General features: G+C 46.6%; 2 protein-coding genes across 10 annotated transcripts in view, besides 7 other annotated features; both read right to left on the bottom strand.

Moving 5' to 3' along the window:
- The window catches only part of GABPB2 (GA binding protein transcription factor subunit beta 2), a 54782-nt gene extending 42033 nt beyond the window's left edge, over positions 1-12749 (bottom strand). For 8 of the 9 annotated variants that reach the window (NM_001323908.2, NM_001323910.2, NM_001323907.2 and 5 more), the window contains exon 1: positions 12576-12749. The gene's annotated coding sequence lies outside the window, so the exon portion shown is untranslated. Of the gene's footprint in view, positions 1-10352; positions 10472-12575 lie in introns of all 9 variants that reach the window. The other variant, NM_001323912.2, reaches the window with a different exon arrangement.
- Positions 11365-12299: an enhancer, noted in NCBI's record as "NANOG-H3K27ac-H3K4me1 hESC enhancer chr1:151043687-151044621 (GRCh37/hg19 assembly coordinates)". NCBI's record gives its function as "activates a minimal SCP1, AML or CMV promoter by ChIP-STARR-seq in naive H9 embryonic stem cells {active_cell/tissue: H9 hESC(naive)}" and the evidence as "EXISTENCE:reporter gene assay evidence [ECO:0000049][PMID:30033119]".
- Positions 11365-12356: a biological region, named in NCBI's record as "NANOG-H3K27ac-H3K4me1 hESC enhancer GRCh37_chr1:151043687-151044621".
- Positions 12197-12356: a silencer, noted in NCBI's record as "silent region_1312". NCBI's record gives its function as "represses an Ori minimal core promoter by ATAC-STARR-seq in GM12878 lymphoblastoid cells {active_cell/tissue: GM12878}" and the evidence as "EXISTENCE:reporter gene assay evidence [ECO:0000049][PMID:35858748]".
- Positions 12300-13234: an enhancer, noted in NCBI's record as "NANOG-H3K27ac-H3K4me1 hESC enhancer chr1:151042752-151043686 (GRCh37/hg19 assembly coordinates)". NCBI's record gives its function as "activates a minimal SCP1, AML or CMV promoter by ChIP-STARR-seq in naive H9 embryonic stem cells {active_cell/tissue: H9 hESC(naive)}" and the evidence as "EXISTENCE:reporter gene assay evidence [ECO:0000049][PMID:30033119]".
- Positions 12387-12466: a silencer, noted in NCBI's record as "silent region_1311". NCBI's record gives its function as "represses an Ori minimal core promoter by ATAC-STARR-seq in GM12878 lymphoblastoid cells {active_cell/tissue: GM12878}" and the evidence as "EXISTENCE:reporter gene assay evidence [ECO:0000049][PMID:35858748]".
- Positions 12667-12876: an enhancer, noted in NCBI's record as "active region_1706". NCBI's record gives its function as "activates an Ori minimal core promoter by ATAC-STARR-seq in GM12878 lymphoblastoid cells {active_cell/tissue: GM12878}" and the evidence as "EXISTENCE:reporter gene assay evidence [ECO:0000049][PMID:35858748]".
- MLLT11 (MLLT11 transcription factor 7 cofactor) lies at positions 13966-23113 on the bottom strand. Its single transcript, NM_006818.4, has 2 exons — positions 22957-23113; positions 13966-16291 (listed from the first exon to the last, which is right to left on the bottom strand). The coding sequence occupies exon 2, from the start codon at positions 16283-16285 to the stop codon at positions 16013-16015; it is 273 nt and encodes a 90-aa protein (NP_006809.1). The 5' UTR covers positions 16286-16291; positions 22957-23113; the 3' UTR covers positions 13966-16012.
- Positions 22976-23567: an enhancer, noted in NCBI's record as "NANOG-H3K27ac hESC enhancer chr1:151032419-151033010 (GRCh37/hg19 assembly coordinates)". NCBI's record gives its function as "activates a minimal SCP1, AML or CMV promoter by ChIP-STARR-seq in primed H9 embryonic stem cells {active_cell/tissue: H9 hESC(primed)}" and the evidence as "EXISTENCE:reporter gene assay evidence [ECO:0000049][PMID:30033119]".

Here is a 23848-nt window from a genome sequence, read left to right as displayed (position 1 = left end):
GGCATGTGCCACCACGTCCAGCTAATTTTTCTGTACTTTTAGTAGAGACAGGTTTTCGCCATGTTGGCCAGGCTGTCCTCAAACTCCTGACCTCAGGTGATCTGCCTGCCTCAGCCTCCCAAAGTGCTGGGATTACAGGCGTGAGCCACCGCGCCCAGCCAATTGACAGTATTTATTGCCAATTATCAATTACAATTTGAGCTTTCAAGCAAAAATTAGAATTTTGGAAAATCTATAACCACCACCATCAACTTGGTAACTCACATTAAAGACTTTCCTGATGAAATAAGTGGTAATATTAATGTGATTTTTTGACATTGTATAATAAAATGCATCAATATTTAGATGACCTATACAATTTGGTGAACCAATACTTTCCAAATGACCAATGTTTAATGTAATGAAATCATGCACAAGTGAAACAATTCAAAGTGAAAGATCAATGGGTTTTAAGGTTACAGAATAGAAAAATTCACTGATGTGTTTTCAAATTCCTCATTGCAACTAACTTTTTCTTTTCTTTTTTTTTTTTTTGAGACAGGGTCTTTTTCTGTTGCCCAGGCTAGAGTGCAGTGGTATGATCATAGCTCACTGCAGCCTTGAACTCCTGGGCTCAAGCAATCCTCCGTCCTCAGCCTCTTGAGTAGCTAGGACTACAGGTGCACACAACCATGCCTGACTAATTTTTTAGTTTTTTGTAGAGGTGCAGTTTTGTTATATTGCCCAGGCTGGTCTCAAACTCCTGGCCTCAAGCAATCCTCCTGCCTTCGTAAACTAACTTTTAAGAAATTACCATTTGTTGGCCTGGCACAGTGGCTCATGCCTATAATCCCAGCACTTTGGGAGGCTGAGGTGGGCGGATCACAAGGTCAGGAGATTGAGACCATCCTGGTTAACACAGTGAAACCGCATCTCTACTAAAAATACAAAAAAAAAAAAATTAGCTGGGCATGGTGGTGGGCGCCTGTAGTCCCAGCTACTCAGGAGGCCTGAGGCAAGAGAATCACATGAACCCAGGAGGCGGAGCCTGCAGTGAGCCGAGATCGAGCTACCACACTCCAGCCTGGGCGACAGAGCAAGACTCCGTCTCAAAAAAAAAAAAAAAAAAAAAAAAAAAGAAATTACCACTTGTTGGCCAGACGCAGTGGCTCACGCATGTAATCCTAGCACTTTGGGAGGCCAAAGCGGGTGGATCATCTGAGGTCAGGAGTTTGAGACCAGCCTGGCCAACATGGTGAAACCCCATCTCTACTAAAAATACAAAAATTAGCTGGGCATGGTGGCATGTGCCTGTAGTCCCAGTTACTTGGGAGGCTGAGGCAGAAGAATCGCTTGGACCCGGGAGGTAGAGGTTGTGGTGAGCCGAGATCGCACCACTGCACTCCAGTCTGGGCAACAGGGTGAGACTCCATCTCAAAAAAAAAAAAAAAAAAGAAAAAGAAATTACCACTTGTCAAGTTTTTGTGCAGTATCAAAGAATACTCACTGTTACTGGAAAAAGTTATTATAATACTCTTTCCTTCGACAAGTACATATTGTAACAGAATGAAGTAGATATAAGAATGAAGCTATCAACTGGGTGCGGTGGCTCACGCCTGTAAACCCAGCACTTTGGGAGACTGAGGCGGGCAGATCACCTAAGGTCAGGAGTTCGAGAGCAGCCTGGCCAACATAGTGAAACTCTGTCTTTTCAAAAAATACAAAAGAATTAGCTGGGCATGGTGGTGCACGTCTGCAGTCTCAGCTACTCGGGAGGCTGAGGCGGAAGAATTGCTTGAACCTGGGAGGTGGTGGTTGCAGTGAGCCAAGGTCACGCCACTGCACTCCAGCATGGGTGACAGAGCGAGACACCATCTAAAAAAAAAAAAATAAATAATAATGAGAATGCAGCTGTCTTCTATTAAGCCAGAAGTTAAAGAGAGTTGAAAAAATATATAAAACAATGCTCTTGTTCTCACCATTTTTTAACTCTGAAGATATATATATACGGTTTGTTTCTTTGTTTCTTTTTTGGGGTTGAGACAGGGTTTCGCTGCTCTGTTGCCCAGGTTGGAGGGCAGTGACACAATCTCGGTTCACTGCAACCTCCGCCTCCAGTGTTTAAGTGATTCTTGTGCCTCAGCCTCCCAAGTAGCTGGCATTACAGGTGTGCACCACCATGCCTGGCTAATTTTTCTATGTTTAGTAGAGACGGGGTTTCACCATGTTGTCCAGGCTGGTCTCAAACTCCTGAACTCAAGTGATCCGCTGGCCTCAGCCTCCCAAAGTGCTGGGATTATAGGCATGAGCCACCACACCAGGCCTGAAGATATATTTTTTATAAAAATGTTTTATGTTGGCCGGGTGTGGTGGCTCATGCCTGTAATCCCAGCACTTTGGGAGGCCGAGACGGGCGGATGACGAAGTCAGGAGACCGAGACCATCCTGGCTAACATGGTGAAACCCCGTCACTACTAAAAATACAAAAAAATTAGCTGGGCGTGGTGGTGGGCCCGTGTAGTCCCAGCTACTCGGGAGGCTGAGGCAAGAGAATGGCGTGAACCCGGGAGGCAGAGGTTGCAGTGAGCCGAGATTGAGCCACTGCACTCCAGCCTGGGGGACAGAGCGAGACTCCGTCTCAAAAAAAAAACCTTTCTTTTTTATTTTTTTTTTGTGAGACATAGTCTTCCTCTATTACCCAGGCTGGAGTGCAGTGGCGCAATCTCGGCTCACTGCAACCTCCAACCTCCACCTCCTGGGTTCAAGTGATTCTTGTGTTTCAGTCTCCCGAGTAGCTGGGATTAGAGGTGCCACGCCACCATGCCCAGCTAATACTTGTATTTTTAGTAGAGATGGGGTTTCACCATCTTGGCCAGGCTGGTCTTGAACTCCTGACCTCAAGTGATCTGCTTGTCTTGGCCTCCCAAAGTGATGGGATTACAGGCGTGAGCCACTGTACCTGGCCTAAACCCTTTTTATTTTATTTATTTATTTATTTATTTATTTATTTATTTATTTAGAGATGGAGTTTTGCTCTTGTTGCCCAGGCTGGAGTGCAGTGGAATGATCTCAGTTCACTGCAACCTCTGCCTCCTGGGTTGAAGCGATTCTCCTGCCTCAGCCTCCCGAGTACCTGGGATTACAGGCATGTGCCACCATGCCCAGCTAATATTGTATTTTTAGTAGAGACAGGGTTTCTCCATGTTTGTCAGGCTGGTCTTGAACTCCTGACCTCAGGTGATTTGCCCAGCTTGGCCTGCCCACCACCATACCCAGCTAATTATTGTTTTTTTTTTTTTTTTTTTTTTTTTTTTTGAGATGGAGTTTGGCTCTTGTTGCCCAGGCTGGAGTGCAATGGCATGATCTTGGCTCACCGCAACCTCTGCCTCCAAAGTTCAAGCGATTCTCCTACCTCAGCCTCCCAAGTAGCTAGGAATACAGGCGTGTGCCACCACGCTTGGCTAATTTTTGTATTTTTAGTAGAGATGGGGTTTCACCACCTTGGCCAGGCTGGTCTTGAACTCCTGACCTCGCGATCCACCAGCCTCAGCCTCCCAAAGTGCTGGGATTACAGGCATGAGCCACTGTGCCCGGCAATGTTTTATTATTATTATTGTTATTATTTTGTGTGTGTGTGTGACAGAGTTTTGCTCGTTACGCAGGCTAGAGTGCAATGGTGCAATCTCAGCTCACTGCAATCTCCGCCTCCTAGGTTCAAGCGATTCTCCTGCCTCAGCCTCCCGAGTAGCTGGTATTACAGGCATGTGTCACCATGCCCAGCTAATTTTGTATTCTTAGTACAGACAGGGTTTCACCATGTTGGTCAGCCCCTCGAACTCCTGACCTCAGGTGATTCGCTGCCTCGGCCTCCCAAAGTGCTGGGATACAGGCCTGAGCCACTGCGCCCGGTCGCAAAATGTTTCTGAGCAGTGTTTTATACTGTAGTCTGCTTTCATATCTACATTTATCGTATTTATATATTTATTTACTGAGACAGGGTCTCACTCTGTTTCCCAGGCTGGAGTGCAGTGGCATAATCATGGCTCACTGCAACCTCTGCCTCCTGGATTCAAGCGATTCTCTTGCCTCGCCTCCTGAGTAGCTGGGATTACAGGCACCTACTACCACGCCTGGCTAATTTATGCATTTTTAGTAGAGGCAGTGTTTCACCAGGTTAGGCCAGGCTGGTCTTGAACCCCTGACCTCAAGTAACCCGCCAGCCTCAGCCTCCCAAAGTGCTGGGATTACAGGCGTGAGCCACTGCACCTGGCCTATCACTCTTCTTTAATCATCTTTCTGTCACATATCAATACTACTAAATGACAACCAACCCAAATCTGTCATCCCATTCTTTCAACAAGCCATGATTTTAAAGCCCTATTTCTTACTATATAGAGATATAATTAAACTTTGGGATTAGAATGTAAATAGGGTGCTATATTTACCTCCTAATATAAGAAAGATATAGAAATGCGTTCTTCAAGGCTATTTTCTCCTCCTATCCTCAGTTACTCTTTTGAGTTAACCTGAAGCATCCATCTTAAGAAAAAGTAAAATGTAGCCAGGCACAGTGGCTCACGACTGTAATCCCAGCACTTTGGGAGGCAGAGGCAGGCGGGTCACTTGAGGGCAGGAGTTGGAGACCAGCCTGGCCAACATGGTGAAATCCCGCCCCTACTAAAATACAAAATTTTACTACCCCGCCTGTACTAAAAATACAAAAATTAGCCAGGTGTGGTGGTGCACGCCTGTACTCCCAGCTACTCAGGAGGCTGAGGCAGGAGAATCACTTGAACCTGGGAGGCAGAGGTTGCAGTGAGCCAAGATTGTGCCACTGCCCTCCAGCCTGGGTAACAGAGCGAGACTGTCTCAAACAAACAAACAAACAAAAACAAAAAAAGAAAAAGTAAAATGAATTTTTTTTTCTATTTTTTTTTTGAGACGGAGTCTTGCTCTGTGGCCCAGGCTAGAGTGCAGTGGCGCGATCTCGGCTCACTGCAAGCTCCGTCTCCCGGATTCATGCCATTCTCCTGCCTCAGCCTCCTGAGTGGCTGGGACTACAGGCACCCGCCACCATGCCCGGCTAATTTTTTGGATTTTTAGTAGAAGCACGGTTTCACCGTGTTAGCCAGGATGGGCTCGATCTCCTGAACTCGTGATCCGCCCGCCTTGGCCTCCCAAAGTGCTGGGATTACAGGCGTGAGCCACCGCGCCCAGTGTAAAATGAATTTTTATTCTTACTCTTTTTTTTTTTTTTTCGAGTTGAAGTCTCACTCTGTCTCACCCAGGCTGGAGTGCAGTGGTGTGATCTCGGCTCACTGCAGCCTCCACCTCTCAGGTTCAAGCAATTCTCCTGTCTCAGCCTCCTGAGTAGCTCGGACTACAGGCTCGTGCCACCACAACTGGATAATTTTGTATTTTTAGTAGAGACAGGATTTCACCATGTTGGTCAGGCGAGGCTTGAACTCCTGACTTCAGGGGATCCACCTGCCTCAGCCTCCCAAAGTGCTGGGATTACAGGCGTGAGCCACCGTGCCCGGCCTTTATTTTTATTATTCTAAAGAAAATTATTATTTTTTGAGACTGAGTCTTGCTCTGTTGCCCAGGCTGGAGTGCAATGGTGTGATCTTGGCTCACTGCACCCTCAGCCTCCTGGGTTCAAGCGATTCTCCTGTCTCAGCCTTCTGAATAGCTAGGATTAGGTGGCACGTGCCACCATGCCCGGCTAATTTTTGTATTTTTAGTAGAGACAGGGTTTCACCATGTTGGTCAGGCTGGTCTTGAACTCCTGACCTTGTGATCCACCTGCCTCGGTTTCCCAAAGTGCTGGGATTACAGGCGTGAGCCACTGCGCCTGGCCTCTCTTTTTTTTTTAAAGCTGAGCCCAGCCATGGGTTTATACCCTCAAATACCTATGAGTGGCCGGGCGCGGCGGATCACAAGGTCAAGAGAACAAGACCATTCTGGCCAACATGGTGAAACCCTGTGTCTACTAAAAATACAAAAATTAGCTGGGCGTGGTGTTGCATGCCTGTAGTCCCAGCTACTCAGGAGGCTGAGGCAGAAGAATCACTTGAATCCGGGAGGTAGAGGCTGCAGTGAGCCGAGATTGCGCCACTGCACTCCAGCCTGGTGAGAGAGTGAGACTCCATCTCAAAAAAAAAAAAAAAAAAACCTATGAGTTGGATAAATTCCTCCCCTCCTGAGGTCCCAGGATAATGTGGGGCTCCTGGGCCTGTCAGAAAGTCAGAAAGTGACACTCTTTACTTACCACAGATCAGGAACCCTGTACAGGGACTTTAGACAAGGTATGAGGCCAGTTTTCCCAACGGGCTTTAATTGGCTTTGTAAGTCTTATGTGAGATTCCTTTTACGGAACAAAGTTCTTTCAAAGCCAATTTAAAAAGCCTATGTGAAAAATCATTATTCTTGCTGCACTTTATACAAATAATCAGACCAAGTGTAATCCCAGCACTTTGGGAGGCCCAGGAGGGCGGATCACGAGGTCAGGAGATTGAGACCATCCTGGCTAACACAGTGAAACCCCGTCTCTACTAAAAATACAAAAAATTAGCCGGGTGTGGTGGCAGGCACCTGTAGTCCCAGCTACTCGGGAGGCTGAGGCAGGAGAATGGCATGAACCCAGGAGGTGGAGCTTGCAGTGAGCCGAGATTGCGCCACTGCACTCCAGCCTGGGCGACAGAGTGAGACTCCATCTCAAAAAAAAAAAAAAAAATCAGACCAAGTTTAATAAAGCCAATCTATTTTACCATGATTTGCCTTTAGTAAAAATGGGAGACTGGCAAGGCACAGTGGCTCACACCTGTAATCCCAGCACTTTGGGAGGCTGAGGCGGGTGGATCACCTGAGGTCAGGTGTTCGAGACCAGCCTGGCCAACATGGTGAAAGCCCGTTTCTACTAAAAATACAAAAATTAGCCGGACGTGGTGGCATATGCCTGTAATCCCAGCTACTCCGGAGGCTGATGCAGGAGAATTGCTTGAACCCAGGAGGCAGAGCTTGCAGTGAACCAAGATTGTGCCACTGCACTCCAGCCTAGGTGACTGAATAAGACTCTGTCTCAAAAAATAAAAAAAATAAAAATTCTAGTCTCATCAGTTGTTTTTAAGTTTTTTTCTGCAACTTAGATTAACTCTGCTTATTCCTGTGAACCAACCAGTGATCTCTGGCTGCTGCTCACAAGAAACAAAAGGAATGGGTAATGTAAAAATCTGGATCAATATTCTAATTCTGGGCACATACTGGAATCAGCTAGTAACCCCAAATCAGCTTGGTTCCAACAGTTGCCCAGTTCATGGAAAACCTTCTTATTTAATTTACTTGGGATAGTTTTGCTTATTTTGCTTTACTGTTGAGGAGTATATTGCTGTTGTACTCTTTGTGTAGGAATGCAGGATAAGCTTACTGAATGTTTTCTTAAACTGAACACCTTTTAATCTTCCAGATATCACCTTTTGTTGGAGTTATGAATAGCTCTCACCATACTGATGCTTTCTGACTGAGCTCCTCTCTGAACCCTGAATACAAGAGACCCTAAGAGTCAGGCAGGAATATCATCGCCCCTATTCACCCTGAAAAAGTTACAGAAGATGGATCTTTATTTCTTTGTAACCCCTAGGATTAAGGGTTCTCTAATAAAAGGGATGGGAGAAATGTCAGAGGTGTTTGAACCAGAGCAACTCCATCTTGCATAGGAGTTGGGTGAAATAAGGCTGAGACCTACTGGGCTGCATTCCCATTAAGGCATTCTTTTTTTGTTTTGTTTTGTGTTTTTTTGGGTTTTTTTGGGGGGGGTTTTTTTGAGATGAAGTCTCGCTCTGTTGCCTAGGCTGGAGTCCAGTGGTGCAGTCTCAGCTCGCTGCAACTTCCGCCTCCCAGGTTGTAGCGATTCTCCTGTCCCAGTCTCCCACCTGGCTAAATTTTTTTTTTTTTTTTTTTTTTTTTTTGAGACAAAGTCTCGCTCTGTCGCCCAGGCTAGAGTGCAGTGGCACAATCTCGGCTCACTGCAAGCTCCGCCTCTTGGGTTCACGCCATTCTCCTGCCTCGGCCTCCCGAGTAGCTGGGACTACAGGCGCCCGCCACCATGCCCGGCTAATTTTTTGTATTTTTAGTAGAGATGGGGTTTCACCATGTTAGCCAGGATGGTCTCGATCTCCTGACCTCGTGATCTGCCCTCCTGGGCCTCCCAAAGTGCTGGGATTACAGGCATGAGCCACCGTGCCCGGCCAATTTTTTGTATTTTTAGTACAGATGGAGTTTCACCGTGTTAGCCAGGATGGTCTTGATCTCCTGACCTCTGCCCGCCTCAGCCTCCCAAAGAGCTGGGATTACAGGCATGAGCCACTGCGCCTGGCCCTTGTTTTGTTTTTTGAGACTGTCTCACTCTGTCGCCCAGACTGGAGTGCGGTGGCACGATCTCGGCTCGCCACAACCTCTGCCTCTAATGCTCAAGCAATTCTCCTGCCTCACCCTCCCGAGTAGCTGGAATTACAGGCGTGTGCCACTACTGCCTGGCTTATTTTTGTATTTTTAGTAGAGACAGGGTTTCACCATGTTGGCCAGGCTGGTCTTGAACTCCTGACCTCAAGTGATCCACCCACCTCGGCCTCCCAAAGTGGTGTGAGCCACTGTGCCCAGTCAGTTAAGGCATTCTTAGTTACAGGATGAGATAGGAGGTCAGCACGAGATACAGATCATAAAGACTTTGCTGATAAAACAGGCCATAGTAAAGAAGCTGGCTAAAACCCACCAAAAGCAAGATGGCGACAAGAGGACAAGAGTGACCTCTGGTTGTTCTCTCTGCTACACTCCCACCAGTGCCATGCCATGGCAGCTTACAAATGCCATGGCAATGTCAGGAAGTTACCCTATATGGTCTAAAAAGAGGAGGCTGCTGGGTGCGGTGGCTCACGCCTGTAATCCCAGCACTTTGGGAGGCTGAGGAGGGCGGCTCATGAGGTCAGGAGATCGAGACCATCCTGGCTAACGTGGTGAAACCCCGTCTCTACTAAAAATACAAAAAAAAAAAAAAATTAGCTGGGCATGGTGGCGGGGGCCTGCAGTCCCAGCTATTCGAGAGGCTGAGGCAGGATAATGGCGTGAACCCAGGAAGTGGAGCTTGCAGTGAGCCGTGATCACGCCACTGCACTCCAGCCTGGGCGACAGAGCGAGACTCCGTCTGGAAAAAAAAAAAAAAAAAGCGGAAGCATGTTTAGCATACAATCAAGAAATAACCAGCCGGGCGCGGTGGCTCACGCCTGTAATCCTAGCACTTTGGGAGGCTGAGGCGGGAGAATCACGAGGTCAGGAGATCGAGACCATCTTGGCTAACATGGTGAAACCCCGTCTCTACTAAAAATACAAAAAATTAGCCGGGCGCCGTGGCAGGTGACTGTAATTCCAGCTACTCAGGAGGCTGAGGCAGGAGAATGGCATGAACTAGGAAGCGGAGCTTGCAGCGAGCCGAGATAGCGCCACTGCAGTCCAGCCTGGGCGACAGAGCAAGACTCTCAAAAAAAAAAAAAAAAAAAGAAATAACCATAATAATACTGCCCATGGAGTAGCTATTCTTTTTTTCTTTACTTTCTTTTTTAGCCAGAGACTTGCTCTGTCACCAGGCTGGAGTACAGTGGCGCGATCTTGGCTCACTGCAAACTCTGCCTCCTGGGTACAAGTGATTCTCCTGCCTCAGCCTCCCAAGTAGCTGGGACTACAGATGCACGCCACCATGCCCAGCTAATTTTTGTATTTTTATTAGAGACGGGGTTTCACCATGTTGGCCAGGCTGGTCTTGAACTCCTGACCTTGTGATCTGCCCGCCTCAGCCTCCCAAAGTGCTGGGATTACGGGGATGAGCCACCGCGCCGGCCTTCCTTTACTTTCTCAAGCAACTTGCTTTCACTTAAAATAAAACAAAACAAAACAACAAAAAACAAACAAAAAACACAGCATTTTGAGGGGAACTATATGCCATTCTCCCAGTATCTTGTCCATGCTGGTTCTGGCAGGTGGTCAATACCTGCCTGGTGGCCCATCAACCAGACAAGAGATGAAGCCTGATACATCAGAAAACAGTCTAGGCACTTCTGACTCCTTGACTACAGACAACTAACATGTTCTCCCTTGCTGGCTGTACCTCCACTTTCCCTATACATAAACTGAGGAAACAAAATCTGTCTCACTTGCCTTCTAGGATTTTGGAGATGAATAAAATAAATCCCAGTGCTTTGGGAAGCCAAAGCAGGAGGATCAGTTGAAGCCAGGAATTTGATCCCAGCCGGGACAACACAGAGGGACTCTGTCTCTACAAAAATACAAAAATAAAAAAATTAGCAGGGTGTGGTGGCCCATACCTGTGGTCCTAGCTATTCAGGAGGCTAAGGCGGGAGGATAGCTTAAGCCCAGGAGTTCAAGGATGCGATGAGCTATGATCACTGCACTCCAGCCTGGGTGACTGAGCAACACGCTGTCTCTAAAAACAAAAAAATAAAAAAAGATGGAAAAGAACCTAAATATATGTCAATAGGGGATGGGATAAAGTACTGAGCAAGACCCTGTCTCTAAAAGTAAAACTAAAAATAAAAAGAAATAAAAAGATTGAAAAGAACCTAAATATATATCAATAGGGGACTGGATAAAGTATGTTTGTTTGTTTGTTTGTTTGTGATGGAGTTTTGCTCCTGTTGCCCAAGCTGGAGTACAATGGCGCGATCTTGTCTCACTGCAACCTCTGCCTGCTGGGTTCAAGCCATTCTCCTGCCTCAGCCTCCTGGGTAGCTGGGATTACAGGTGTGTGCCACCACGCCCGGCTAATTTTTTGTATTTTTAGTAGAAATGGGGTTTCACCATGTTAGCCAGGCTGGTGTCGAACTCCTGACCTCAGGTGATCCACCCACCTCGGCCTCCCAAAGTGCTGGGATTACAGGCCAGAGCCACCACGCCCGGCCTGTTTGTTTTTTAAAGAGACAGGGCCTCACTCTGTGGTCCAGGCTGGAGTGCAGTGGTGCAATCACGGCTCACTGCAGCCTCGACCTCAAGCGATCCTCCCACCTCAGTTTCCCGAGTAGCTGGGACCACCAGTGGGCACTACCACGCCCAGCTGATTAAAAATAATTTTTTTTTCTCTGTACCGACAGGGGTCTCCCTATTTCGCCCAGGCTGGTCTAGAACTCCAGGGCTCAAGGGATCCTCCCACCTCAGCTTCCCAAAATGCTGGGATTACAGGCGTGAGCCACTGCGCCCGGCCAAAACCTTTCAATAAGTGTGTGTTTTAATAATTCATGAAGTGCTTGAGCTCTTGACAACAAAGTACTCTATTATCCAAGATAATTAGAGTAATTACTTTTGTTTATTTAAGAATCTGGATGGGGCAGTTTTCTCTTTATTGTCATCAAAGCACGTGTGAAAATACATGCCTAAGAACATCTCTACTGGATTGGGTGGACCAAGTGATTAGATGAAAATATGGTCTTGGATGGCCAAAATTTTGTTACATCGTTGATAGTAAGCCATAGACTGTCCTTTTCCAAAGACGTTGGGTTGGGGGGGACCCCCTAGAGAGAAAGCCCTTTTGGGAAAAGGGAGAGGAATGGGATGACCTCTGGCTCAAGGAAGTATGTGAAAACAGGAGACAGCCAACGGAAAGAATTGCAATGGAAGAATCTATGGTTCTTTTAGTATTGCTCAAGTCCCCACTGGGCGGCCAGCTGTACAAACAACTGTGAAAGAAGCAGAGGCGAGGCCGGGAGCCGTGGCTCACGCCTGCAATCCCAGCACTTTGGAAGGCCAAGGCGGGGGGATCCCCTAAGGTCAGGAGTTCGAGACCAGCCTGGCTAACATGGTGAAACCCCGTCTCTATTAAAAATATACAAAAATTAGCCATGCATGGTGGCGCACGCCTGTAATCCCAGCTACTCGGGAGGCTGAGGCAGGAGAATCGCTTGAACCCGGGAAGCGGAGGTTGCAGTGAGCTGCAGGTTGCAGTGAGCCGAAATCGCGCCACTGCACTCCAGCCTGGGTGACAGAGCAAGACTCAGTTTTGAAAAAAAAAAAAAAAAGAGCAAAAAAGCAGAGGCGGGGCCCGTACTGCTCTCATTCAGATTACCGAGTTCACTAGTAATCTTTCAGGTCATTATTTGGGTCAGATAATGAGAGTCGCCGTTTCCCTCTCTATCATAAACCCTACAGTTCCTCACACCAATGTCTGTCTGAAAGATGGGAACCAATTTGGGGCAGGGGGCCAAACTCAGCCTCGGCGACAGGCCTCGGCCCCGGCTCCGCGCCGCCCCCTAGTGGTCACCTCCGCGGCCTGGGCTTCCCTTGGTCCAGCTCCCCAGCCCCAGGTCTTACACCCACCCCCTTCTTCACCTCCTTCCAGTCCCCTCCCCTTCCTCCCGACAGCATCCCCTTCCTCCCCGTCCCCCTCCCGCCGCTGCCCCCGCTTCAGTGACGGGGAGCCGCGAGGTCTGCACCCAGAAGTCCGAGGCTGGGCTGGGAAGCGGTGTGACTTCTCACGGCACTTTCCTTTCCAGCCCTGACGCCCCCCGGAGTCCACACATCTCTTCTTTCCTCCTCACCTCCTCGTCCGGGACGCTGCCGGCCACGCTTCCACGGAGCCCGCCAGTTTAGTCCCGTTTCCTTCTCTAGTTAAGACTCCCTGTCAAGGACGGTTACTTTTTGCCCTTTTCATGTGTGCATGTTTTGGGGGCCTTTAACCCCCCCTCGTGGAGAAACAGAGGCAACAAAATGGCGGACCCGGAAATGAAGGCGCCGCGAGTAAGATTTCTGGCGGAGGAATCTGTGAAGGGAAAATGATCAGAAAACTCATGCTCCCATTCTAACAGAAAGATGATGCACCCCCGAGGTTCATCGCCTTTCTGCTGAGGCACTTCTGAGGTGGAAAAGTGCGTCACCGAGGCATGCTAGGCAGGACTATTTAACGGGGCGGAGGACTGCTGGTTACGTATCTTGCGCGTCTGAATAGTTCCAGCAGGGGACGGATCCTAGGTCTGGTGTTGGCGCCAAGAACCTGGCGAACTGCTGAGGGAGACTCGGAGCGTGCGTCAGTCATGCAGATTGCGTCTTAACTCTTGGCTGCTTCTTCGGGGTCCGGGGCGGCCAGGTTTAGTTTGACAGGAAAGCCTCGTTTCCTTATCCCAACCTCGGCTGCAGCTGTTTGGGACGTTCCTGGCTTTGTGCATTGGGTTCTGGTGCCTGATGGACACATTTTTCCAGTTACAGGCCGAATGTAAGGACCCCAGAGCCAAGCTGTCAGTGAGAACAGTGAAACAAATAACTGAGTCATTTCTTTTCTTTCTTTCTTTTTTTTTTTTGAGACGGAGTCTCGCTCTGTCGCCCAGGCTGGAGTGCAGTGGCTCGATCTCGGCTCGCTGCATGCTCCGTCTCCCGGGCTCACGCCATTCTCCTGCCTCAGCCTCCGGAGTAGCTGGGACTGCAGGCGCCCGCCACCACGCCCGGAGATTTTTTTGTATTTTTAGTGGAGACGGGGTTTCACCGTGTTAGCTAGGATGGTCTCGATCTCCTGACATCGTGATCCACCCGCCTCGGCCTCCCAAAGTGCTGGGATTACAGGCGTGACCCACCGCGCGCGGCCTTTTTTTTTTGAGACGGAGTCTCGCTTCGTCCGTCGCCCAGGCTGAAGTGCAGTGGCGTGACCTCGGTTCGCTGCAACCTCTGCCTCCCGGGTTCAAGTGATTGTCCTGCCTCAGCCTCCCCAGCAGCTGGGATTACAGGCGTCCGCCACCACGCTGGGCTAATTTTTGTATTTTTAGTAGAGATGGGGTTTTATTTTACCATGTTGGCCAGGCTGGTCTCGAACTCCTGACCTCAAGTGATTGGCCCGCCTCGGCCTCCCGAAGTGCTGGGATTACAGGCGTGAGCCACCGCGCCCGGCCTGAGTCATTTCTTTTTGGAGGCCTGCAAGAGGATGGAGCATGAGTTTGCAAATCCATTTAGTCACTTTATTTACCAAACAGTTGATCCCTGTCTCCACCCACCAATTGCCATGGCTGAAGGACTCTGAAGGGGCCCTTCAAAACTCAGTAAAAATAGAAAAGGACGCACTACTTATCCTTCCTGGCCCCATTCTTCGTTAGACTGGGACCGTCTTTAGATGTGGGCTTTTCATGGCCTAGAGGGAGGATTTGTCTTTTTTTCTCCCACCTGGGGACTTCTCTAGATCATCCTTATTTAGGGTATAGTGTCATCCTTATTTATAGTACACTGCCCAATTCTGTCCTATCCATATTGGTATTTACAGTTTCTCTTTTGAGAGTTGGAGTCTTGTCTCATTCCCGTTTACATTCTGTTTGGCTCAGTGCTTTCCTATAGCAGGCACACAAAAACCAGAAGTTAAGCAGATAACATATTTGAGTGAATTCGTTTATCTTCTTAGGCACCTAGGAGAATTATTACCTGAAATATAATGTTGGTAGTCAGTGGGCAAGCAGAAGAGTGGTTGTACCTGTCTCCCTAACTACTTTTCTAATTTTAAGTTGATTTTGCCCTTTCATTATCTGTTCAATGCGAAGTTCACCATCTAATGTCTAAATGCTACTCAAATCATTCTTCCTCTAAGTTGAATATTATTATAGAAAGATAAAATGAGGCCGGGCTCAGTGGCTCACGCCTGTAATCTCAGCACTTTGAGAGGCTAAGGCGGGCAGATCACCTGAGGTCAGGAGTTAGAGACCAGCCTGGCCAACATGGTGAAACCCCGTCTCTATGAAAAATACAAAAATTAACCAGGCCTGGTGGCAGGCGCCTGTAATCCCAGCTACCTGGGAGCCTGAGGTGGGAGGATCCCTTGACCCTGGTGGGTGGAGGTTGCAGTGAGCGGTGATCCCCGCCACTGCACTCCAGCCTGGGTGACAGAGTGGGACCCTGTCTCAAAAATAAAAAAGAAAAAAAAGATGTATAAGCTAAGTGTGAAAGCAAGGCTAATTTCTCAGATTTCTGTGGCTTTTCTTGTGAAGAGAGAAAATTAGACTCCAGTCCTGGGATTGAATGTCTTTATTAAATAAACGAGTAAATGGTAGCACAAATCACCATCAATATTTTTGGAAGGATTGGGGACAAGATGTCGAGTCAGAATATAATTGTTCATTTCAGGGTCTCAATGTAGCTGAAGAACTGTGCCCACTGATCAGTATTACGTATTGCAAATGCAGGAGGTAAGGCTAAAATAGGACTTATGCCGTTCAGAAGATTGAATTGAAACCTTAAAAACTATCATAATAGTAGGAATGCATGTTAAGATTTGATAACTTTCTTTAGCTAGAGTTTTCAACCCACAGTTAGGAGCAAAGTTGTAAAGTGAGTAGGTGTGAAGAAGGGACACTCTTTTGAGAAAAGAAATTAGCTACTTCTAAAATGATTCAATTATTTTCCCTATTTTCATTTTCCATAATATTTCCTCCTGTTTTATACCTCTAACTACCCTCCTGATTTCTCTGAGGAAAAAAAAGAATATAAGAGCAGGATCAAAAAAAAGCAAGAGACTTATCACTTTAGCCTTTTAGAAATACTGTTTCGTAGCAGATAACCTCAAATTAAAACTTCCGAGGTTTTCATCACCCCTTGAAGAAATATTTGTGTTTACTGCCCTGGAGCAGGAAATTAGGAAGGTTTAAGGAATCTCTGAAGCTGATTATAATAGAGTCAAAAATCAGTCTTCCATTTTGCACTACTATACTACTCTCAGGTGTCCCCAGTCAGGCCTAGTTTCTGGAGTTAATATTTGGGGGGGAAAGGAGGAATCCCTGTGACCCAGTACTCCATTGCTTGAACCATTTACTTTGTGACTTGAGGGCTTTTGAGAGAAATGGAGTAGACAGATAGATAAATAAATACATAGAACTCAACTCTGGCAGATTCATCAGCACCACCAACACAGTAGGGAGAGAACAAGATTAAAATGGGAAAGGAGTGGAAAGGAAGGGGCTTGAGAGGGAAGACAATGAGGGCAAGGTGATGGGAGAGAGAAGTCTTGGCCTTAGAGCAAGTCCAGTTCGAAGGAGTGGATGCTGGCAATGGGAGCTCTCCAGAAGTTGAAGGTGCTGTACTCAAGGAGGCCATCACCTTCAGGGTTTTTCTCCTGGTCTGCTGCAGTTGCTTGCCCGATCATTTTGCCAACGCTGCTGTCTTTGACCTTGTAGGTGGCTGTATCTGACAGACCCAGGCCTTCCAGCTCCGACAGATCCAGTTCTGGGATGGGCATCCTCCAGAAAAGAAAGGAACTGTACTGGCTACTCACAGGGTCCCTCATAGCTTCCTAGAAAGAAACCACTTGTCAGTCTTCATGCTACAGCAACTTCTTTGTGGCCCATGGCCTTTCCTTGCTTAGATACTCCACATACTGGTAAAAAGGAATTTCTTTTTTTTTTTTTTTTCTATTAAAGAAAGAAAATTGTATATCCTCCAATCCCACCAGTAAAAAGGAATTTGGGGAGGAAAAAAAAGAAACTCACCATCCCCAATTGCCTCTGGAGAGAATCCAAGTTCCCTTGGACAAGCTTCAGAAACCCTTTATTATGAATTTCTACTTTTTTTTTTTTTTTCTCTCAATGAGACGGAGTCTTGCTCTGTCGCCCAGGCTGGAGTGCAGTGGCACGATCTTGGCTCACTGCAAGCTCCACCTCCTGGGCTCACACCATTCTCCTGCCTCAGCCTCCCGAGTATCTGGGACTACAGGTGCCCACCACCACGCCCGGCCAATGTTTTGTATTTTTTAGTAGAGACGGGGTTTCACCATGTTAGCCAGGATGGTCTCGATCTCCTGACCTCGTGATCTGCCTGCTTCGGCCTCCCAAAGTGCTGGGATTACAGGTGTGAGCCACCGCGCCCGGCCGAATTTCTACTATTTTCTAAACTTCCCATCTTGGAATGACTTATTTACCATCTATTGCATCAAATTGATCTTGGGTCTGATTTTCAAGGCCTTCCAAAATCTAGCCCATTCTTCCCAGCAGTGGTATATCCTCTGTTACAGTTATGCTCATTCCTGTCTTGCTTAACTCTCTCCATTCTCCACCTTAAAATACTTTCCGCATTTCAGCCAGGTGTGGTGGCTCATGCCTGTGATCTCAGAAGTTTGGGAGGCAGAGTGGGTGGATCACTTGAGGCCAGGAGTTTGAGACCAGCCTGTCCAACATGGGGAAACCCTGCCTCTACTAAAAATACAAAATGTTAGCCAGGCATGGTGGTTTGTGCCTGTGGTCCCAGCTACTAGGGAGGCTGAGGCACGAGAATTGCTGGAATCCAGCAGGGTGAGGTTGCAGTGAGCCTTCCAACCTGGGCAACAGAGCAAGATTCTGTCTTAAAAAAAAGACTTTCCACATTTCAGGACTCCATTCAAGAGCTCAGTGGCTCACACCTGTATTCCCAGCACTTTGGGAGGCTAAGGCAGGCGGATGACTTGAGACTAGGAGTTCCAGACCTGCCTGGGCAACATGGCAAAACTCCGTCTACAAAAAATACAAAAAATTAGCTGGGCCTGGTGGTGCACGCCTGTAGTCCCAGCTACTTGGGAGGCTGAGTGGGAGAATCACTTGAGCCTAGGAAGCAGAGGTTCCAGTGGGCTGAGATTGTGCCGCTGCACTCCAGCCTGGGGAATAGAGTGAGACCCTGTCTCAAAAAACAAAAAGACAAAACAAAACAAACAAAAAACTCCAAGTCTATAGAGGAACCCCCGTTCCCCTAGCCCAAACTCCTATTATACTTAAAAATACTTGACTTCCTCCTGACTTTGGTTTAATAGCTCATGGTATGTGTGAAAAGACCTTCCGTGACTTTTCTGCTTTCTATTTTCCTTCTTGCCTTCTAAATCCTACTATAAACTCACCTCTTGCAGATGACTTCCTTAAACTTTTACTCAGCTTCATCTACTCTATTTCCTCCAGCATCTCCCCCAACACCCTGTAGAGTTTTACCTAACTCCATCAGTTTGGGATTACAGATCACTGTTAATGTATTTTATGTATAGGGATGGCCTTATTGCCTTCTGAATGGGGAAAAGCAAAGGGCAGTAGAGAGCAAGCTAGAATCTGAGAAAAACAAAAAGCTCTTTGACAAATTGACCCCTTGTCTTAAAACCAGAGTATGAATAAAAAACTGCTCAAATAGTCCCTGAGGGTTTGGCAGAGCTATCTTGCAATTTAAAAAGCTAAAGCAAATGTTATGAAATATTAACTCAGAAGGCCTAAAACCTCTATGTCATTGACCCAGAGACATGTACACAGGGTACCAAATACATTCAAGAAACACATGCATGCAAGCATATGTGGCATTAAAATCAAGTCAAGAACATAAAATAAGACTACACAGAAAATTGAAGTTAAAGTGCTATTCACTAATGTAAATAGTAATGAAATTTTTGATTTAATATAGTATGGATTTAATTATCAAATACTCCAAATTTTGCAAAAGACCCCTTTTTTGGCTAGCTTCCCCTTCCCCTCCACAAATGCTCTCCACCCCTACTTCATCTATCTTTACATCTATCATTATCTTAAACGGTATCATTTACTTAAAGGGTTGACAGTGCCTTGTACCACAATATATATTCAATAAATGCTTCCCATTATCCTTCATTTTAAATTATCCAGGTATTTTAGGCAAAGGCAATATCTAATTATCACTCTGTTCTTAGAGATACATGATTAGCAAATATGTAGATTAGAAAGATACACTCTCTCGGAGCCACACAGACACGCCCAAACATCCTTTGTCCAGACCCTTTGTGGGCATCCAAGGCCTACTCAACAGGGCCTTGCTGTGTCATGCTGCCACCATGGGGAAAGGGGGAGGACAAGGTGGTGGTAGAGGGGAGCAGAAGCTCTCTGGCATCTCACCATGCGTGCCTCAGTCAGAGCTTGGATTTTCCTATTAGCATTCCCTCACCAGTTCCACTGAATTGCAAATAATCATTCTTTTCCAGAATCTGTCCCCATACCTAGGAGTTTCCCCAAGGGTAAAGACCAATCTACTTTCTCTGTACACAAGTGGTGGGCTTTGTACACAAAGCCATTCAAGGCTGCTGATTAACTTTCCCTCACTATTTAATTAATACCTTGCCATTCCCTTATATTAGCCCACAGGTAAGCCTTAACAATCCATTTCTCTCTAGCCTACCTCTCCTTCAGAACAAAACCTAGGTGCTAAAAGAACTTTCCTAGCCAGGTGCAGTGGCTTACGCCTATAATCCCAGCACTTTGGGAGGCCGAGGCAGGCAGATCAGGAGGTGAGGAGTTCAAGACCAGCCCAACCAACATGGTGAAATCCTGTCTCTATTAAAAATACAAAATTAGCCAGGCGAGGTGGCGCATGCCTGTAATCCCAGTTATTTGGGAGGCTGAGGCAGGAAAATTGCTTGAACCTGGGAGGTGGAGGTTGCAGTGAGCCGAGATCTCGCCATTGCACTCCAGCCTGGGCAACAAGAGCGAAACTCCATCTCAAAAAAAGTAATAATAAATAAATAAATAAATAACTTTCCTATGCTGTAACAGGGATCTCTTTTCTCTGATCCCAGTGCTCGAGTATACTGATGATAATGAGAGCAAATGGATTGGAAATCCATTTGGATTTAAAGTAAAGTTCAGATTGGAAGAAGGTATTTTAACAGAATCAGATACTCTTCCATGCGTTAATGGATCTATCACTTTCTCTACTCATTCTACCCAAGCCCTGCCTGATATTTTAGGACTATTAGAGCTGCCTACAGCCTCCACCCTGCTACTTACTAGCCAAGGGTCAAGAAGCATTAGTTGTGGTCGGGCGTGGTGGCTTACGCCTGTAATCCCAGCACTTTGGGAGGCCGAGGCGGGTGGATCACGAGGTCAGGAGATCGAGACCATCCTGGCTAACACGGTGAAACCCCGTCTCTACTAAAAGTACAAATATTAAGCCGGGCGCGGTGGTGGGCGCCTGTAGTCCCAGCTACTTGGGAGGCTGAGGCAGGAGAATGGCGCGAACCTGGGAGGCGGAGCTTGCGGTGAGCTGAGATAGCGCCACTGCACTCCAGCCTGGGCGAAAGAGCAAGACTCCGTCTCAATAATAATAATAATAAATAAATAAAAATTAAAAAAAGAAGCATTAGTTGAAATGTTCCCAAAGGAGCAGAAAGAACATTCTATCACCTCCAAAAACAGAACCCCAAGTTTCAAAAGGCCTTTCTCCAACACACCCTATTGGGTCTCACCAGGCCAGAGACTCCTAAATAATGGCCTTAAATAGGTTCCAAAATGCTCCAGTATAATGTGAAATGACTGTACTAAGGCAGAAAAAGAAAGTGTTAATCTAGAACACAGTGATGTGTGAGAGTGTGGGGGCTTCAGGAATGGTGAGTGGGTAGGCTAGGATGTTTTTAATGTTGAAAGTGAATTCTGAGTTGTTCTTTTTCTTAGTTTAAGTTCCAAAATAAACCCTGGGAACTGAGCATTACTCAGCAGAGAAGCTGCTTAGAAGGAGGGTGATGCCGGGATTGCAGCAGGGTCGGGGAGCATGTTGGAAAGGTGAGGTCATCATCCTATGATACTCAACTCTGATAATCTCCATAGTACTTTGCAGAGACGTGTGCAGAAAGAGAGCTACAAAAAATGGTTGTATCCATTAACCAACCACCCACTGCTTAAATCTGGGACTATAGAGATTCTAAGAAGCATACCTAGGAGTCAATACTGTTATGGACTTGTGGCTACAGGGATTCTTACTGTTACCAGTTATTTTCACAGCTAGCTGGGTTCTTTTCTCTATCCTACCTGACAAGTCTTCTCCAGAATGAGCTTAGTATAATGCAGGCCACATTATAGGCTCTTTAAAAAATAGAATCATGGGGCCAGGCGCGGTGGCACACGCCTGTAATCTCAGCACTTTGGGAGGCCGAGGCAGGTGGATCACAAGGTCAGGAATTCGAGACCAGCCTGGCCAAGATAGTGAAACCCCGTCTTTACTAAAAATACAAAAATTAGCCAGGTGTGGTGGCAGGCGCCTATAATCCCAGCTACTCGGGAGGCTGAGGCAGGAGAATCGCTTGAACTGGGGAGGTGGAGGTTGCAGTGAGCCAAGATTGCACCACTGCACTCCAGCCTGGGCAACAGAGCGAGACTCCATCTTAAAAAAAAAAAAAAAATAGAATCATGGGGGGAAAAAATCATAGAATTTTAAAACTAGAAGACATCTTAGAAATTAATGACTTGGGAAGACTTCCAGCCAGTTTGTATAGAATCCAGATCTCATAATTCCCAATCTGATCCCTTTTTGTGTTGTACATGGATAGTTGCCAACAGCTTTATATAACCCTATACCAGTATTCCCAAAACTTAAAAGAATTTTTAGTTGCTGAAGAATAGATTTTCCGTGGTTTAGGTGATTGTTCCTGTAATTGTGATCTGAATGGGGAAAAGCAAAGGGCAGTAGAGCAAGCTAGAATCTGAGAAAAAAAAAAAAGCTCTTCGACAAACTGACTCCTTTTCTTACAACCAGAGTATGTATAAAAAACTGCTCAAACAGTCCCTGAGTGTTTGGTAGAGCTATCTTGCAATTTAAAAAGCTAAAGCAAATTTTATGAAATATTAACTCAAAAGGCCTAAAATCTCTATGTCATTGACCCAGAGACATGTACACAGGGTACCAAATACATTCAAGAAAGACATGCATGCAAACATACGTGGCATTAAAATCAAGTCAAGAACATAAAGTAATACTACACAGAAAATTGAAGTTAAAATGCTATTCACTAATGTAAGTAGTAATGACATTTTTGATTTAATATAGTATGGATTTAATTATCAAATACTCCAAATTTCGCAAAAGATCCTTTTTTGGCTAGCTTCCCCTTCCCCTCCACAAATGCTCTCCAGCCCTACTTCATCTATCTTTACATCTTTCATTATCTTAAATGGTATCATTTACTTAAAGGGTTTTGACAGTGCCTTGTACCACAATATATGTTCAATAAATGCTTCCCACTATCCTTCACTTTAAATTATCCGGGTATTTTAGGCAAAGGCAATATCTAATTATCACTCTGTTCTTAGAGATACATGATTAGCAAATGTATAGATTAGAAAGATACACTCTCGGAGCCACACAGACACGCCCAAATATCCTTTGTCCAGACCCTTTGTGGGCATCCAAGGCCTACTCAACAGGGCCTTGCTGTGTCATGCTGCCACCATGGGGAAGGGGGAAGGACAAGGTGGTGGTGGTGGTAGAGGGGAGCAGAACCTCTCTGACATCTCATAATGTGTGCCTCAGTCAGAGCTTGGATTTTCCTACTAGCATTCCTCCACCAATTCCACTGAGCTGCAAATCATTCTTTTCCAGAATCTGTCCCCATACCTAGCTCCTGTGGGCTATACTGATTTCACTATGGAATCAGGCAGTTCTCCAACACAGAGGCCCCCACCTTTCCTACCCTAGGCTGCCTCTTTCTTTGGAGCAAAGATTCGAGGTGGAATGAAAGAGATTATCCAAAGAAAGGTCAGGATTACACCCAACATTATCCCATATAACCCCCTCCCAAACTCCCTCCTACAGAGAAACATAGAACACTACAGAAAAAAATTGCAAGTATAGGGAAGTAGAGGACAGAGAGATACAGTAGGACTAAAAATTAAACAGCTGGTAAAACAAATTATGGTTTGAAAAGGAAGATAAGTAGACTGAAGATATTAAATACACAGGACAATAAATTACAGAAAAGGATACTTGAAATGAGGTAGGTGCTGAGAAATAACTACAAGTAAATTGTTAGAGATTAATGGTCTGTATAAGGTAACAAGGCATGGATGCTGTGAAGAAATAACTACCCATTGTTCATAGCGCCCCCTTCTCTCCTCTTCAGCTGTCCCCCACCTCATGTGGGGTCTTTCAATCTAACCATAAGCAGCCGCTCTTCTATCTTTGCAGCCCCCTGCCCCCTCCCTCAGTTTGGTTTACCTGTTATCAATCAATTACTGGCGTGTTCCAAAGATGGAGGGAGTGCCTCGGGAGCTCCGGGGTCTGCGCCGGGCTGGAGAAATACAAAGCTGTTGGGGCTTTGACGGCTTTGTCTTCTCACTCCTTTTCCCTCTTCAGTGACTGAGTCTGTCAGTTCACTCTCCCCCTGCAATGCAGCCCCTCCTAAGAAGGGCGGAAGGATTCCCCGCCCCCTCCTGCCTGACTCGGCTAATTCAAATGATAGGTTCCAGAACACTTGAGGGAAGGAGAGACGATGAAAGCATCTCCCTAGGCTCATTGGTCTGCGCTATTATTCCCGATCTCTTCCAGCACCCCCGTGCTGACTGGGGGCCCAATGAATGAGCAGTTAATTGCCCTCTAATTTTAGGTCCTCTAATTTATGGATTTGAAATCTTAACTCTAGACTACAATGGAAAGGAGGAGTATTCCTTTCTTCCACAATTTAAGGACTTTAGGTTACAAAGTATTTTTAAGAATCAGAGTATTTTTCCACCCCTTCTCCCAATCCCTGCTCCTCCAGACTCGCCTCTCTACCCTCACAATGGGTAAATAAACCTAGTCCTATTCCATTTTGGGTAGAGCACAATAAATTTGGGGTGGGGGGCGTGCTTCTGCGAATCTCTGAACTTGGTTAGGTCTGGGGGTTTGGGGGGCTCCGCTTCGTTTTGCCCCGAAATGCCTGGCGAGTAAAGGGAACGTGAGATTCCGGGGGCCCCAGCTTGGGTGCCAGGGCCTCATCTAGGTGTCCGCATTCTCCAGTTCTCCCCGCAGGGGCGGCGGCCTTGAGGGGCTGCAGAGGCACCCTCCCACGTCCCGCGCAGTGCAGTGCCTCCGCAGTCCAGAGGGGAGCAGTGCGCCGGGCTCCGAGCCG

Source organism: Homo sapiens, chromosome 1, assembly GCF_000001405.40.
Source record: "Homo sapiens chromosome 1, GRCh38.p14 Primary Assembly".
NCBI lineage: Eukaryota > Metazoa > Chordata > Mammalia > Primates > Hominidae > Homo > Homo sapiens.
This window is presented reverse-complemented; position numbering and strand designations above follow the sequence as displayed.